Source organism: Homo sapiens, chromosome 4 (genome assembly GCF_000001405.40).
Source record: "Homo sapiens chromosome 4, GRCh38.p14 Primary Assembly".
Lineage (NCBI taxonomy): Eukaryota > Metazoa > Chordata > Mammalia > Primates > Hominidae > Homo > Homo sapiens.
In genome coordinates this window covers 6,031,790-6,048,330 of record NC_000004.12, presented here as the reverse complement: position 1 = coordinate 6,048,330, position 16,541 = coordinate 6,031,790, and the positions used below count along the sequence as shown (strand labels likewise).

The following is a 16,541-nucleotide window of genomic DNA, read 5'->3' as shown; positions in this document are numbered from 1 at the left end:
ATATTTTAGAAGCAGAATGACTGGGCCAAATAGTAAGAATGTCTTGAAGGACTACGGCATTGTCAAAACAGTGTCCAGAAAAGCGGCACCAGATACCCTCCTACCTGCAGCCTTACACGTTGTTGATTTATGCTTGACATGGCATGTTACCGCTGAAAAGAACTTTGCCCATTTGATGGTGAAAACCGTATCACGTCATTGTTTTAATTTTTATTTCAGTGCTAGTGATACTGAGTTTTTTATGTGTATTATCTATTTTCTTCTCCTTCCTTGTGAATTGTAATTGCATTTATTTTGAGGGTTTTCCATTGGATTTGTTCACCCATCCATCCATTCATTCATTTGACAAATATGTATTCATTGTCATTGTCTTTCTTACTGACTTCTCTGAGTGCTTTACATATTAAAAATACTAACTTTTTGACCTGTTTGTTACAAAACACATTCCTGATTTGTTTGCCTTTTACACTGGTTTATGGTGTGTTAGAAATATACAACTGTTTGTGGCTAAAGACCTTTTCCTTTCAAAGCATATGGGTTCAACTTTAAAATGCTATTTTTGCAGTGATGAGGTCTTAATGATCTTAGTTGGGATTCTTTCCAGAATTGCTGGAAGGGCATTTAAAATAGAAATAGTTTCCTTCCCAGGGCATCTGTTCAATCCCTCAATCAAGTAAAGGATACTAAATGTTGGTAACAAGACTTATGGCCAAACCTTGCCCAAGGTCACACTGGTAGGCAGTGAGAGGATTGGAACTCAGCTTTCTCCTGTTCCTATCATCACTAAACCTGGCTGAGCTTGTGTCTTCTGGTGAACCGCGGGACGGGGATGACTCACACCTGGCCGGCTGGTGGCTATCAGGTGCAGGTGCAGGCACGGGGCGGGGCACATGGGGCATATTCAGCACCTTCCTTTCCAGCAGCAAAACCCTCCGTGGCTGCCTAGGCTCCTCCAACAGTGCTCCGTGTAGTCACACAAAGTGCTGATTAAACACTTATGACTCAGCTTATTCAACATCTACTGGAATATTTACTGAGAAAGAGCATCTTAGTGTCAAGTGCTGAGCACGGCCCTGGGAGACGTGGAGATGTCACATCCACCAGTGTCCGCTTTGATGTCGGGGAGGCCTCTCCTGGCTTGCGTCTTGGCTACACCACGTGCCAGCTGCAGGGGTTTCAGCCGGTTTCTCACCACATCTCTCTCAGCCATGACACTGAGCATCCTGGTGGCTCACAGTGTCTGTCGGAATCCAGGAGGCTGCATATTTCAGTGGGATCAGGCATTGCCATCAGGTTCAATCAAGCACCTGGGGCCATGCTTGCTTCCTGGAGATGCTTGGTCAATGCCTGTGGACCGGGTGAGCAAGGAGCAGGAACCTGCTGGTGACTCAGGGTGGCTGGTTCGTCCTGGGGCTGGGGCAGGGGGTGTTGGAGGGCCAGGGCGCCAGCTGGCAGGAGGCTTTCAGCCTCAGTGATAGCAGCCCTCTGCAGGGCGCTGAGTTCTCCCACCTGAGCCGTTCCTGATGTACCCCTCCCCACGCCCGACCCACAGCAGGTGTTCCAGGCCTGCACCTTAGGTCCCCAGCGCTCCTCATCCTCTGGGCATCTGTGAGATTAGCAGCCCTCTAGGACAGCTGAGGAGGTGGAACCTGTCTGGGATCCGGCCACTGTCTGCCTTGACCCTCACCATGCTCTGCTCGCCTGGCAGCTGCCCACCTCCCCGCTTGCACCCTGCCCACCCCCACTGCCGCCCGCCTGCCCCTGACCACCAACCTCCCCAAGCTGGTCAGCCTGGTGCTGTGCCTTGTGCCCTACGTGCTAGAGAGCTGTGCCAGTCGCCCTAGCCTGCCAGGCCCTCACAACCCCTACTGACGGTTATGGGGCCCCGATTCTGAGCCTGGCACAGAGGTGCCCAGCTCCGCGTCTTTGAGGAATAGACTTAAACCAGAGTTTTCTCAGGTTGGGTTCTAGGAGACACTGGCCCTGCCATTTGTCTGTGGATAAAGGTCCAGTAAGCTTGGGTGTTGCCGCTCGTCTCCTCCCAGCTTGGAGAGGATGTTGGTGTAAGAGCTCCTCAGGTCCAGAAGTGGACCTTCATGTGGGGTGGGAACTGCATCAGCAGGACCCCCTGAGAACCTGGCAGGACCACTAGGGGACTGACAGTCTGCTTTGCCTGGGACTGACAGCTTTCCTGGGACGTGAGAATTGCAGTGCTAAAACAGGGACAGTCGTGGGCCAACAGGGACAAGCTGGTCACCCTAGAGCCGACAGGCACTGCAGGGAAGTTTGCAAAGGGGGTGAGCACCTGCAATGTCACTGCCAGGGAAGGCTTGCTGACAGGCCCCAGTTAACCCCTGCTCCACTAAATACTCTTTATTTTAAAAATTGTCATTCCATACGGGTATCCGAATAAGTGGAAGTCAATGTCAATGTTCCCTTAGAGGCATTAATTTTTTTTTTTGAGACAGAGTCTCACTCTGTCACCCAGGCTGGAGTGCAGTGGCACGATCTCAGCTTACTGCAACCTCCACCTCCCAGGTTCAAGTGATTCTCGTGCTTCAGCCTCCTGCAGCTGGGATTATAGGCATATGCCGCCACGTCCGGCTAATTTTTGTATTTTTAGTAGAGACGGGTTTCTCCATGTTGGTTAGGCTGGTCTCAAACTCCTGACCTCAAGTGATCTACCCGCCTTGGCCTCCCAAAGTGCTGGGATTACAGGTATGAGACACCTCACCCAGCCTCGAAGCCAGTTTCTTAGTGTGTAGGTGAAGTGCAACCTGAAGGAATGTCCTATGATGTGCCTGTGTTGATTTCGCTACAAACAGCATCTTGCCCTGGGCACATGCTTTCCTCATCTCCGCCCACTGAGGCCCTGCCCAGTCATCAGGACACAGGCATCCGTCCTGGCACCCATCAGCCCCACTCTGGTTAGCCACGTATAGGATCAGGCAAGGTCTCACTCACCTCGGCACATGGCACGTGCCCCACAGAGAACCTGAACCATGAGACATTGGAGGGTTTATAAATCATAGCAGTCATATCTCTTCTCCCTCAAGTTCAAAGTGGATCGAGAAAAAGACACCGGCCTCAGCCAGGTGGGAATGTCTTAAAGGCCATGTTCTCACTAGTAACGATGGATAGGAGAATGAGGCATAGGTCTGAGCCATAGTCTGACTTTCTAATAGTTGGCCGTGAGTCGAAGCCTTGGGACCATCCCCAAAGGGAGGGAGGAGAGATGAGCCCCACCAGTTGCAGGGGATCCAGGCTCTGCACCTGAGGGGCCCTGGGAGGCGGGGCGCGGAGAGCAGCCCCCACCCTGCAGCATGCTGCCCCCATGAGGCTGCTCAGTTCATCAGCACCTCCCTGTGAGTGGACTCACTTCTCCTCCCCAGCCTGAGACCCCCTCTCCTGGGGTTGGAGCAGAACCATGAACGCTGTTTCTCCCAGGAGTGACTGAGCCTCCACAGCTATCTGGCCAAACTCTTTGATATTAAATTTCTGATCTCACGTGGTCGGGGGTCCTCATGGCCAGCTCTCTCTGCTTTCATGTTCTCTCCCCGTTGCTAAAAGGTCTTGTTGAATTTATTTTTTATATGCAATTTTTTAAACGACAGCAGCAACAAATCTCAACACTGTGTTCTGCAGAAACCGTTCTGAGAGCAGCATGTTGTAATCATCCAAACCTGGATTTCCCATTTTAATTTTATTCATTTTATGACTGCTTGCATGAGGATATTAAAACTGAAATACCTGTAACTCCCCATCCAAAATATGCTTATCTGTTTCTAAGAAACCACGCATCTTGTCTGAGCCTTGTTTGAGGAAGTGCTGGCCACCGCGGCTGGCACAGGGTGCTGGGTGCTGCCACCGTGGCTGGCACAGAGCCCGTACTGGGGGCCGAGCTCACTGTGGCGTTAGGGAAGGAGTTCTGTGGCAGGAGCCGATCAGTTCTAGTCCCCTCTGTTCAGGCAGCACACACCCCACCAACCTGCACAGCCTTGATTCTCCTTCATTCGACAGAAGTTTATTAGGCACCTGCTTGTGTCAAGCCCTGTGCCAGGCAAGGAAGTCCAACAGGAGGCAAATGTGGTCCCCACCTTCAAGGGGGGCAGCGGGGTGAGGGGTGAAACAGACAACAGCGCTGTCAGGTGAGTGCTACGACCCGGCATTCACAAGATGACTGACATGGGCACCATGGAGGTTAGCTGACCCCACGGACTCAAGCAGGGTAGGCTTCCTGGAGGAGGTGACAGCTAGCTCAGGGCCTGAAGACTGAGTGATGCTAGCTTGTTAAAGGCCTGGGGCTGAGGCTGGGGCCAGGAGAGGTAGGGACAGCACATGGAAAGGCTGGGCATGTTCGAGGAGCTCTGTGTAGTTAGGATGACCAGGGCCTGGGATTTCAGTGGGGACAGGAGAGTGCTGACTGATGAGGCTGTGAGCATCACAGGGGCCACCCCACACTGGGGCCTTGCCAGTGTTGTCGGGGGTGCTGGGATGTCTTTGGAGGTCTCTGAGCAGAACAGGGATGTTCCATGAGCCCATGTGTGTTTTTTAGGGAACTTGCTGGCTGGGGGGGCAGAAAGGAATTTGGGGTGTGTGGGGAGGATTCAGATATGAACCTGGGGGCTGAAAGGGGAATGGGGGGTTGGTGATGGGGAGGGAGTGCTGCGGGTGGGTTTGAGAACCAGAAGGAGGCAAAGCCAATATGTTGGAAGTGGACGGAAGGAAGGAGGGGGCACTCTTCCCCATCAGGGGTCCTGGCAGGCCCTGGAGATGCCTTGAGGCTTGGGAGTGGAGGGGTGCAGGAGGCAGCGGCACACAGGGCGTGGTGGGGCAGATCTGGGTATGAGACATTTCAGAGAGGGTAGGGAGGGTGGATCCCGGGGGAGGGCAGAGTAAGGTGGAGAAGGCCGAGGGCAGGGCTCCAGGACCTCACGAGTGCGGGGTGACCTGGCGAGGGTGACCAGCTGCCGCCAGAGGAGAGGGAAAGCAAGGAGTACAAGGAAGCTGGGGGAGCCTGGGGTCGGGAAAGGGGGCTTTCTGCAGCCAAGGCCTGGAGTCAGGAAAGGGGGTGCTCCACAGCCGGGATCTGGTGGCAGGAAAAGCACTCTACAGCGGGGCCTGGGGTCGGGAAAGAGGGCGCTCCGCAGCTGGGGCCTGGCAGTGGGAGGCCATCCGACAGCCTTAGCAATGAGGAGGTCAATGGTGTTGTCAAACCCGGACACCCCTAGGTGCCCTGATCTCCCCACAGCCCTCCCCCACAGGGCAGCCACCCTGTGCTGGCCTGGACTTCCTCCCGTTTTAGGGGCTCCTCGTAGAGGCACATCCACGTATGACACCTGCCTCCGTGCTCACCCCCAGCCCAGACCCCAGAGGGAACGTGGACAGAGCTCCCACTCCCTTACCTGCCGCTCAGGTGCACGCCCCGCCTGTTCACCCCGTACTCTCCGTGCCTGCGCCCTCATGTCCTGGCATGAACCCTGCTTTCATGCTCCTACACCCCCTACCCTGTGTGTGATTCCACCTCCTCTCATGGTGGCACCAGGCACTCTGGGCTGCTCCAACTCACGTTGCTGGAGGGATGAGGGCAGTGGCTTTGGCATCCTGCAGGCTGGGTTCCAAATCTCCATTCTGCACCCGTGTGACCTTGGACAAGTTACTTAACTCAGCCTCCATGTCTTTACCTGCAAAATAGGGGTGACGCTGCCTACTGCTTGGGGTGGTCGTAAGAGAGTCAGATGAGGTCTCCTGTGTGAAGCATCAGCACAGAGCAGGCACTCATTGACATCAGCTATACCACACCACTTCCTCTGCTGCACACACTCGCAGCCGCCCACACTCGGGTCCATCCAGGCTCTGAATCCAGCTTCCACACCACGTACATGTCACACTCACACCTAAGACCTCCTGCACATGCAGGCTGGACCATGCACACACAACCACGCCATCCACAGATCAGGCATGTGTGTGCCATGACCTGACCCATTCCTGAGCACACTCTGAGGAAGCCGATCTATGAAATTCACACACCTGTGAAATTCCACAGCCCCTTGGGTTCTGACTCTCACTTTGCTGCACCCGTCCTGTCCCTGCTGTTTTCTAGTGGCTGAAGCAAATAGAGGGGACCGAGGCCGCCCTGACCCAGAAGATGCTGGACCTGGAGAAGGAGAAGGTAAAAGATTTGACTGCCTGGGGGTGGGGGAGAGGGTTCAAAGAGCTCAGAGAGGTTGATTTGCAGGAAGGCTTTGCATGTGTTTTCCTAATGATTTGCATGCATTTCTCAATTTTGCTTTTGCCCCAGTGGTTGTTCTAAGTAATTGTCACCCATTTACTTACTCTTTCACTCGCTCAATTACTCATCGAATACATATTTTCAGAGCCTCTGCTGTGTCCCAGGTGCTATGGCAGGATTAGAGGCTTAGTAATGAATAAGTGGGGTCCCTGCCACCAGGAGCAAGCTCACAGACCTGCAGGGTCATGCGTTCATGAGCTCACGTGAATGCAGCATGAGGATGTTAGGAGAGACACAGCCCAGATATGGAAATGCTGGCGCAGTGACTCTAGGAACACATGGGCATGGCTCAAATCTTTGCTGGCCATGAAAACTTGGGAAACTGGACTTTAGTTTTCTCATTGATGAATGGGAAATTCCAGTCTGTGCTTTGCTGGGTTGTGGGATGAGAAATGCTACATACATAACCAGGGTTGCACTGTGCTTGGCACCTTGGGTACCTGACAAATGGTGGTGGTGGTTATTCACTGGGACTATGGATGTATGGGGAGCCTGGGGAGGACAGAGAAGGCTTCCCAGAAGACGTGGTTCTTGAGTAGTCAAAGGCCAATTCGAGTTCTCCAAGGAGAAATGGAAATGGGAGGAGAAGGAGGAAGGTGGAAGGACTAGTGTGGCCTAGGAGCAGGGTGTGGTGTGGCAAGAGCCCTGACTGATGCCAGAAGGCCTGGGTTTCTACTCCCACCTCTGCCATCACTGAACTGTGGCATCTAAGGCAAGGCTCTGGTCCTCCCTGGCTCTTTCCTTCCTTGTCTATAAAAGGAAGTGGCTACAGGAGATGAATTCTAACCCTGAAACCCTCAAATCAGTCATAAAAAGAGATTTGCACTCCGGAGAGATCATGCTTGCAGGGTCTTAGACAGTGACCCAGGTATGTGGGAGGCAGGGAGAAGTGTGCTCAGTGAGACCAATCGGGAGGTGGGTGATGCAATTCAGGCAGGAAGGAAGAGCCACATCTGGGAACCATGAAGACAGTCTTCAGGGGCCACTAGGATGTAGCAGGAGGAACCTAGAAGGACTCCTGTGACTTGCGCCTTGGTTTGAGGTGGGTCCCTTCTTTACAGTCAGGTACCCAAGAGGCAGGGAAGCAGGAGGAATGGGATAGTCTTCACCAAGGATCCAGGTGTGGCTGTCAAGGGTGCCCCAGGTCAGTGAGGCTCCTGCTGGGTGATTCATGTGGGGGCAAACGGGGAAGACCACCAAGTCCCTTCTCATCTGAGTGCCCCCAATTCGGTGAGACTGCCACTCTCTAGCAAACGGGCTCTGAAGCTGTCATGGATTCCTGTTCTGACGCTGGTCCCTGATGGCGCCTCCCTCTTTCTCAGGACCTGTTCAGCAGGCAGAAGGGCTACCTGGAAGAGGAGCTCGACTACCGGAAGCAAGCCCTTGACCAGGCTTACCTGGTAGGACCAGAAGTGGGTTTGACACTTTGGCTTCTTAGACTCCACATTAGAGGCTGCTTTTTCCTCTGGGGCTGAAACTGCATTTAGGGCGCTCCCCAGTGCCAAACAGGAGTGATAAAAATGCCATCTCCACCTTGTGACTGGAATGACCGTACAGACTGTCCCTTTTTCCAAATCAATCGTGATTTTCAAAAATATTCAAAGTTACTTTAATGGTTTTCTTAGACATGCTTCTTAAATTCTAGTAATCATTTGAGATGAATGAGAAGAAACTATATTTCTTTTATGTTTGATTTTACTTAAATATTTAGACTTAAAGTCCCAAAGCAAGTTTTCCTATAAATAGGAAAAAGAGATGATCACAAAGGAACGCAGAGGTAAAGCAATTAGATGAAGCCAGGTGATTTTCAGAACCGAAGGGACGAGGTATAAGGTCGGATGTAATACTGCATTTGGGTTGCAAAATTGATTCTGGGCGTCCTGGTGATTAAAATACAGTGGGATGATGTTCAAACTCCTGTGTCCTCACACTCAAAGCTAAGTGCTCCTGGCACGAGAGAAATTCTCCTTCGGGGTGGAGGGGAGTTGAGTAAGATCATAGAAACTTGTCGCTGCAGGAGAGAGAATTTAGAGTTCAATGTCATTCCTTGTAGGAAGAAGCTAGCGTGGTACAGAGTCTTGAGCAAATCTCTGCCCAGATCATTTGTAGTTAAAATAATTTTACAAAAATGGGTTTGCACCTACAAAATGCAGAGCCAATCACTAAAAAAAAAATGACTTTAAAACTCTACTTCCCATGACAGGCTCCAGGAAGACAGAGAGCAGGTAGCATGGGCTTAGCTCAAATGGACAGGAGATTTAGACATGAAGGCCGGTGCAACTAGCTATGACCCTTGTCCCTTCCTGTCGAGGCTGTGAGGCTTGAATCCCTTGAGACTAGGAGCAGGAGATGTAGAAGATCAGAATGAACTAAACCTTATCAAGACACAGCATTTCCCTCTGGGCTATCGTTTCTGGTTACACGACATTTCAGTAGTGTTGAGGGCAACTAACGAATGGAGACATTCTCCATTCGTGTTTTGGTCCAGGCTTGGTGCTTTTGAAAACACCCTGCAGGCTGGGCCATCCCCGTCATGCATCCCTGTTCTTCCCTAGTGTTTTCCAAAAAAACTCCAAGGAATGTGATTTTAGATGGAACTTAGGGTCCCGCAAAGCGTAGCGCAATAAAGTTGGAAAACTCTGAAGGACTTCTTGGGGTCTTAGCGTGCTAAAGGGTGAGTTGAGGCTCCGAGAGGAATGTAAGCAAGTGGTGTGCCAAGTTCAGTGAATCACTGGACCTTTTTTCAAGGGACATCTTGCAGAACTGGCATTTCCCAAAACACACTTCGGAACACCTTGGGGTCCACCCTTCCTTTGTCTAAGCACCAACTCAGGAAGGCCTGAGGGGCCCCTAAGAATGCTGAATCTGCAGAAGAGGCCCCTGCATGCTGGTTCTGCCACCATACAGAAGCTACCTTCACACTTGGAGTGTTTGAAAGCCTGCCATGGGCACTGTGCTCCCAGTGGGATTTCAGTTGCATGGGTAGACAGGAGTTCTGACGCAGCCCCTGGATTCTCATGAACAGTCAGGAAGTGAAATGCTCTGAGAGGGTGACAGGGCCATGTGTCCATGCTGGGGCCAGGACAGCAGATGCCAGATGCAAGCCTGTGTCCCTTTGTCACTGAGCTGAGTGAGGCGGGGCAGGCCCACAACGGGATTTCCAGAATCGAGTGGTGCGTTTCTATCTGGAAACTGGCCACGCAGGGGTCTCCTGGGAGCTCGGCTGCTGAGTAGAGAAGGGGTGAGCCTGCAGGCACCAGCAAGCTCTGCTCCATGTGGAGCCCACCTGGGGGCCCCGCAGCTCTGCCAGGGAACAGATTCCAGCCTTCTAGTTCCCCAAGGGCAACTGTTGGGGTGGGTAGAGCTGAAGGTGATCATGTTTGTTGGTTAAAATCAGTCTGGCCTGATGGGCCTGGATCCCAGCAGGGAGAAGCCAGAGGAGACTTGAAGAGCAAGTGGCCTGATGGTGACGGAGGGCTACTGGGTTAGCCTCTTCCTCGGTGATGGAGGGATACCGGTTAGCCTCTGCCTCAGTGATGGAGGGCTACTGGGTTAACCTCTGCCTCAGTGATGGAGGGATACCGGTTAGCCTCTGCCTCGGTGATGGAGGGCTACTGGGTTAGCCTTTACCTCGGTGACAGAGGGCTATTGGGTTAGCCTCTGCCTCAGTGACGGAGGGCTACTGGGTTAACCTCTGCCTCAGTGATGGAGGGCTACTGGGTTAACCTCTGCCTCGGTGATGGAGGGATACCGGTTAGCCTCTGCCTCGGTGTTGGAGGGCTACTGGGTTAACCTCTGCCTCGGTGATGGAGGGCTACTGGTTAGCCTCTGCCTCGGTGATGGAGGGCTACTGGGTTAACCTCTGACTCAGTGATGGAGGGATACCGGTTAGCCTCTGCCTCAGTGATGGAGGGCTACTGGGTTAACCTCTGCCTCAGTGATGGAGGGCTACTGGGTTAACCTCTGCCTCGGTGATGGAGGGATACTGGTTAGCCTCTGCCTTGGTGTTGGAGGGCTACTGGGTTAACCTCTGCCTCAGTGATGGAGGGCTACTGGTTAGCCTCTGCCTCGGTGATGGAGGGCTACTGGGTTAACCTCTGACTCAGTGATGGAGGGATACCGGTTAGCCTCTGCCTCAGTGATGGAGGGCTACTGGGTTAACCTCTGCCTCAGTGATGGAGGGATACTGGTTAGCCTCTGCCTCGGTGATGGAGGGCTACCGGTTAGCCTCTGCCTCGGTGATGGAGGGCTACTGGGTTAACCTCTGACTCAGTGATGGAGGGCTACCAGTTAGCCTCTGCCTCGGTGATGGAGGGCTACTGGGTTAACCTCTGACTCAGTGATGGAGGGCTACCGGTTAGCCTCTGCCTCGGTGATGGAGGGCTACTGGGTTAACCTCTGCCTCGGTGATGGAGGGATACCGGTTAGCCTCTGCCTCGGTGATGGAGGGCTACTGGGTTATCCTCTGCCTCGGTGATGGAGGGATACCGGTTAGCCTCTGCCTCGGTGTTGGAGGGCTACTGGGTTAACCTCTGACTCAGTGATGGAGGGATACCGGTTAGCCTCTGCCTCAGTGATGGAGGGCTACTGGGTTAACCTCTGCCTCAGTGATGGAGGGCTACTGGGTTAACCTCTGCCTCGGTGATGGAGGGATACTGGTTAGCCTCTGCCTCGGTGATGGAGGGCTACTGGGTTAACCTCTGCCTCGGTGATGGAGGGATACTGGTTAGCCTCTGCCTTGGTGTTGGAGGGCTACTGGGTTAACCTCTGACTCAGTGATGGAGGGATACCGGTTAGCCTCTGCCTCAGTGATGGAGGGCTACTGGGTTAACCTCTGCCTCGGTGATGGAGGGCTACTGGTTAGCCTCTGCCTCGGTGATGGAGGGCTACTGGGTTAACCTCTGACTCAGTGATGGAGGGATACCGGTTAGCCTCTGCCTCAGTGATGGAGGGCTACTGGGTTAACCTCTGACTCAGTGATGGAGGGATACCGGTTAGCCTCTGCCTCAGTGATGGAGGGCTACTGGGTTAACCTCTGCCTCAGTGATGGAGGGATACTGGTTAGCCTCTGCCTCGGTGATGGAGGGATACCGGTTAGCCTCTACCTCGGTGATGGAGGGCTAATGGTTAACCTCTGCCTCAGTACCATGTTTCTATTGAAACTCATGGTTTCTCTATACCACCTGTAGTTTCTTTGGGAGAGAAGTAGCTGCTCCTTAGTAAGGAATGTGGGTGGAGATTTAGGAAGGCAGAAAAGGAGGTAATTGTCTTTTGTCCTTAGACATTGCCATAAGATAGCTACATTTAAGTGTCTTGCTGTGAAAACGAGTAACATCCTGTAATGATGACAACTCAGCTTTCACAAGGATCCCCAGTTGGTCACTAATGCCTCATTCAGCTTTGCCAAAAAGGGTGGCTTGCTTTTGTTGGGGGTTAGGGGCAATTAAAACATTGCCACTATTTGCTTTGGGCTAGAGTTGCATTCTTAAGGCAGCTGAAAACCAAATGTGTGCAAATCCAGACATATTTCCCCATTGGCACCCATTAGAAAAGGGGAGATTTGTTTCCAGGGTGAGGAGAGCCAATTGGAAACCAAGGATGGAATAAAACCCAGGTGAATTGCACCTCTGTTTGAGTCATGCATCTTAAGGGAATGCTATGATTACTTTTTCTTCTTGCCTTTGTCCCCTCTTGTGCATAGTAGGGGCATCTGGGTTGAATAGAGTAAAAAATGACAAGTGTGCGGGGCCGAGTTGCTCCCTCACAGCCTGCTCCCCCGGGCACTGCTGGCCCTGTGCTTGGCCCCTGCCAGTTGCCCCTCCCTGCCCGAAACCCCCCTCCCTGGCTCTGCCTCCACTGGCAGCAGCCTTCTGGTGGTTCCTGTCCACCTCCTTGTGACCTTCCTCTGTCTGTGTGATCTGGGGTCCTCAGAAAATCCAAGACCTGGAGGCCACACTGTACACAGCGCTGCAGCAGGAGCCGGGGCGGAGGGCCGGTGAGGCGCTGAGCGAGGGCCAGCGGGAGGACCTGCAGGCTGCTGTGGAAAAGGTGCGCAGGCAGATCCTCAGGCAGAGCCGCGAGTTCGACAGCCAGATCCTGCGGGAGCGCATGGAGCTGCTGCAGCAGGCCCAGCAGGTAGGCGGCAACAGCGGCTGTGCCCACAGCACCCCGGCACCCTTGTTGTCCTGTGTGCACCTTGGCACCCTGATGGGCCTCTGAGTGCCCCAGGCTCATTCCAGGGAGAGTTGGTGGTAAAGCAAGTTTCCAAGAAGCAAGATTTCATAGATGCCCATCATATCTCCCCGTGACGGGGCAAGACGTGGGGCACTTGGGCATTCTAAAGAGCAAACGCTGAAACATTCATCCAAACCAAAGTGCCTTCTCCCTCGGCCCTCCTTCTCCAGCATCTGCACGCTGTTTCCAGGTCAGATGCTGGTTACGGGGAGGCATCCGCTGAATGGTTTGCTTTTTTGCTACCTTTTGTGATGGCGGCTCATTGGAGCATTGGGCCTAGAAGCTGTACCAGTTGTAGGTCTGAAAACCTCAATGTCTTCCAAGGTTCGATGTTGCGTGTGAGTTTCATGTGCTACTGAGCACATGGGGAGCTGAGGGCTTCATGACTCCTGATTGACGAGGAAGGGAAAGAAGCAGCAGCATCATGCAGAGCATTTGTCGGGCGCTCACCATGTGTCGGGCAGTGGCTCCCTGCGCTGCAGATCCTTTATCTCATGGACCCTATGGGTAGGCACTATGACGTCCATTTTCCAGACGAGAGAACTGAGGCTCAGGGAGGTTAACTCATGTGTCTGAAGGTCACCCAGATAGTAAGGATCTAGATTACCAGTGGGGAGGGATGTCACAGAAGGAAAAAAGAAGGGGGATGCGGGCAGAGAGAGAGAGAAAGAGAAAGAGAGAGAGAGAGAGAAAGAGGTTGACTTACTTTAAGGAACTGCCTCACGCAACTGTAGATAAAGATCGGCAAGTTCACAATCTGGAGGGCAGGCTAGAGCCCCAGGGAAGAGTTGTTGTATTTCAAGCCTGAAGGCCATCTGCTAGCAGCATGCTCCTCTCCTCGGGGAGCTCAGTCTTTTTCTCAAGGCCTTCAGGTGATTGAATGAACCACACACACACATTATGGAGGCTCATCTGCTTTACTCAAAGTCTACTGATTTAGGTGTTTATCTCATCTAAGAAAGACCTCCACAGAAACATCTAGTTTGTTTGTTTGTTTGTTTTTTGAAATGGAGTCTCACTTTATCACCCAGGCTGGAGTGTAGTGGGACGATCTCAGCTCCCTGCAACCTCTGCCTCCCAGGTCAAGCAATTCTCTTGCCTCAGCCACCTGAGTAGCTGAGATTATAGGCACCCGCCACCACACCCAGCTAATTTTTGTATTCTTAGTAGAGACGGCGTTTCTCCATGTTGGCCAGGCTGGTCTCAAACTCCTGACCTCAAGTGATCCACCCACCTAGGCCTCCCAAAGTGCTGTGATTATAAGAGTGAGCCACCGTGCCCATCAACATCTAGAATATTTGACCAAATATCTGGGTACCATGGCCTAGCCAAGTTAACATAAAATCAATCATCATCACCATCAAAGGGAAAGGGCATTCTGGGCAGCAGAGCAGCATGGTGTGGTTCAGCTTAGGCAGCAAAGAAGCTGAAAACACAGACACTGGGACCAGACGGCCGGGCTCTGAACTCTGGATCCCCCATTTAGTTGTGTGGCCTTGGACAAATTATTTAACCTCTCTGGGCCTCACTGTCTTCCTCATGGGGATGATGACAATGCCTGTCTCACTGGGGCATGGTAAGGTTTAGATAATTATTACTTGTAAACTGCTGTCAATAAGTGCAGACCACTATGGATTCAAAAGTAGTACCCTGTATATAGGATTTTACAGAGAAACCACCACCCTGGAACAGTGGTTGTAATGAGCCTCACTAAAACACCTGTTTGAAAACAGGTGTTTGGCTACCTGATTAAGTCTTCAAACCAGCTTAAACAGAGGGAGAGATGAAGGCACAGAGACAAAACAGCTGGATGAAGGTCAGCTAGCCACAAAGTGACCCTTCCAGGCCAGGCCCATCCTGAGTCCACTGCCAGAGCCCTGGTCTCCACACTGCATGATCCCCTGAGGGTTAACTATTGATGTTTTGTGATTCTTTGCTAGTTGCTATCATTTGATAGTCTCCAGAAATCTGGTATTTTCAAAAGAGTATTGCAAAACCTACATTTTTTTTTCCCAAAGAGAAGGAATTCAAACCTGCATTACAGTGATTTTTTTCCCCTCCAGGAACATAAAAATTAACGTTTTAAAGTTTATATATGGAAAGCTATGATGCAGCATTAGGAGCCATAGGCTCTCGGGTCAGACAGGTTTTTATTCAAATCCTGCCCCTAGTTATGGTGTGACCTGAGGCAAGTTAGTTCACCTCCGTGAGCCTCAATTTTCTTGTCTGTAGAATGGGTACAATCAACACACACAACTTGAAGTGTTGCGGTCAATGGAGAATTTATCTAAAGTGCTCACAAAGTAAGCACTCAATGAATATTAGCTAACATTTGCTGCACTTGGCTTTTCTAACCCAACCTAATCATTATCATGTCTTCTCTCACCTTTATATTCATCATAATCCCTAACACTCATGTATTCAACACGGGCGACACTACCTAACACAACCAGGTGCTCTGGCAACACTCACCCCACTTCTGATCTGGCCCAAGCACTAGCTACCCGCTTCAACCATGGACAGACCCTCCCAGTCTCCCAGTTTGCTGTGGACATTACCATTGTATTTCACCTGGAATCTGGCCCACAGGGTGCAGTGATGTCCCCTGCCCAGCCCCAGCTGAAATTGGCATTTTCCAGCCCTGTTAACTAAGAGGAGAAGAGGATGTGAAAACATCCATTAGTGAATGGCACCTTTCCCAGCGGAATGATTCTGCACTTTTGTAAAAGGTTCTGCCTGAGTGAAGGTTGGAGTGAAGCCACTGGTGTAAATTCACTTTGTCCTGACCCTCTCTGAGGGTTCAGTAGCACTGGTTTCGCTTCCTAGCCACAGTTGGCCTGCAGAGACATCTGCTGGGACAATTCACGATGGCAATGCCCTCTCCATTGTCTCTTTCTCTGCCGAAGCCTTCCTAACACAGAGCACCACCACAGCACCCCCGCCTCCCGCTGAGACCCTCACTGGCTCCCTGGTGCCCAGAGTACAAAGTCTGGGTTGCTTAGTCTGACCTTCGAAGCCCTCTAGAGCCCCTTCCAACTGCCACAGCTGCATTGTCCACCTCTCTCAGAGTTGCCCCTGCTGGCCGTCATGGAGCTGTGTTTTGCTTTGTTTTGTTTTGTTTTGTTTTGTTTTGTTTTGTTTTGTGTTGTGTTGTTCTAACATTCGTGTACCAAGCACTGTTCTAGGTGCTGTGGCAATATTCCAGCCCAGGGAGGCAGACTGGGGCTGACCCACAGAAGGGGCTCAGTGGACATTGGTTGAATGAAACTCACACGAGTCCTTTGAGGACAGGTCATTGATGCCATTTTTCACAGGGGAGCAGAGTGAGGCTCAGAGAAGGTAAGCAACTTGTCCAAGGTCACACAGCCAGGAAGCAACAGAGCTCAACTGTGAACCCAGGTCATCAGATGAGGAAACTCTTACCCACTGCTCTTTCTGGCCTCCCACACTCTGATGAGAGACTGTTTCCTAAGCGTGAATATCAAGAAAGATCAGAATGAGAACCAGGTTGTCAGGCTGATTTTTAAAGCCCAGAAGTTGTTCCTGGGGGATTCTCAGATGTTCTTTGGAAGCTGTAAAGCCAGACATTAGATTACAAAGCATTGTCCTGCAGATCCCATTTCACCCTCGGTGTCATGGGGTCCCACACAGACATTACAGCAGAGGGGTCCAGACACAGAGAGATCATGTCACTCACCCAGAGCCCAACAGCTGCTACATTTGGGGCCCAGAATTCAAGCCGGGTTCAGGCCACATGCCCTGCTTACTCAGCAGCACTCGGCCGCCCTGCATGTGAGGGGGTTGCCAGGAAACTCCTGCCACTACCAGACTGAGGTCACACAGTTCCCTTCGGGTGGGAGAGAGTAGAAAATTATCAGTTTAAAAAAATAACATATGGAGTGCTCAATGCCAAGCTCTGCTCTAAACACTTGGTACAAATTTGCTTGTTAAATCCTTAGATGTGGGCAGCACCCATCTATAGATAAGGACACCAAGCCTCAGGGAGGCAGAATAA

At 51.9% G+C, this 16,541-nt stretch overlaps 1 protein-coding gene across 1 annotated transcript in view; it reads left to right on the top strand.

Annotated features, from left to right (window-relative positions):
- Positions 1–16,541, top strand: part of JAKMIP1 (janus kinase and microtubule interacting protein 1) — a 174,351-nt gene that overhangs the window by 152,219 nt on the left and 5,591 nt on the right. The window contains exons 17-19 of the mRNA NM_001099433.2: positions 6,104–6,172; positions 7,615–7,692; positions 12,224–12,427. Coding sequence (NP_001092903.1) covers positions 6,104–6,172; positions 7,615–7,692; positions 12,224–12,427 — 351 coding nt within the window. The remainder of the gene's footprint in view (positions 1–6,103; positions 6,173–7,614; positions 7,693–12,223; positions 12,428–16,541) is intronic.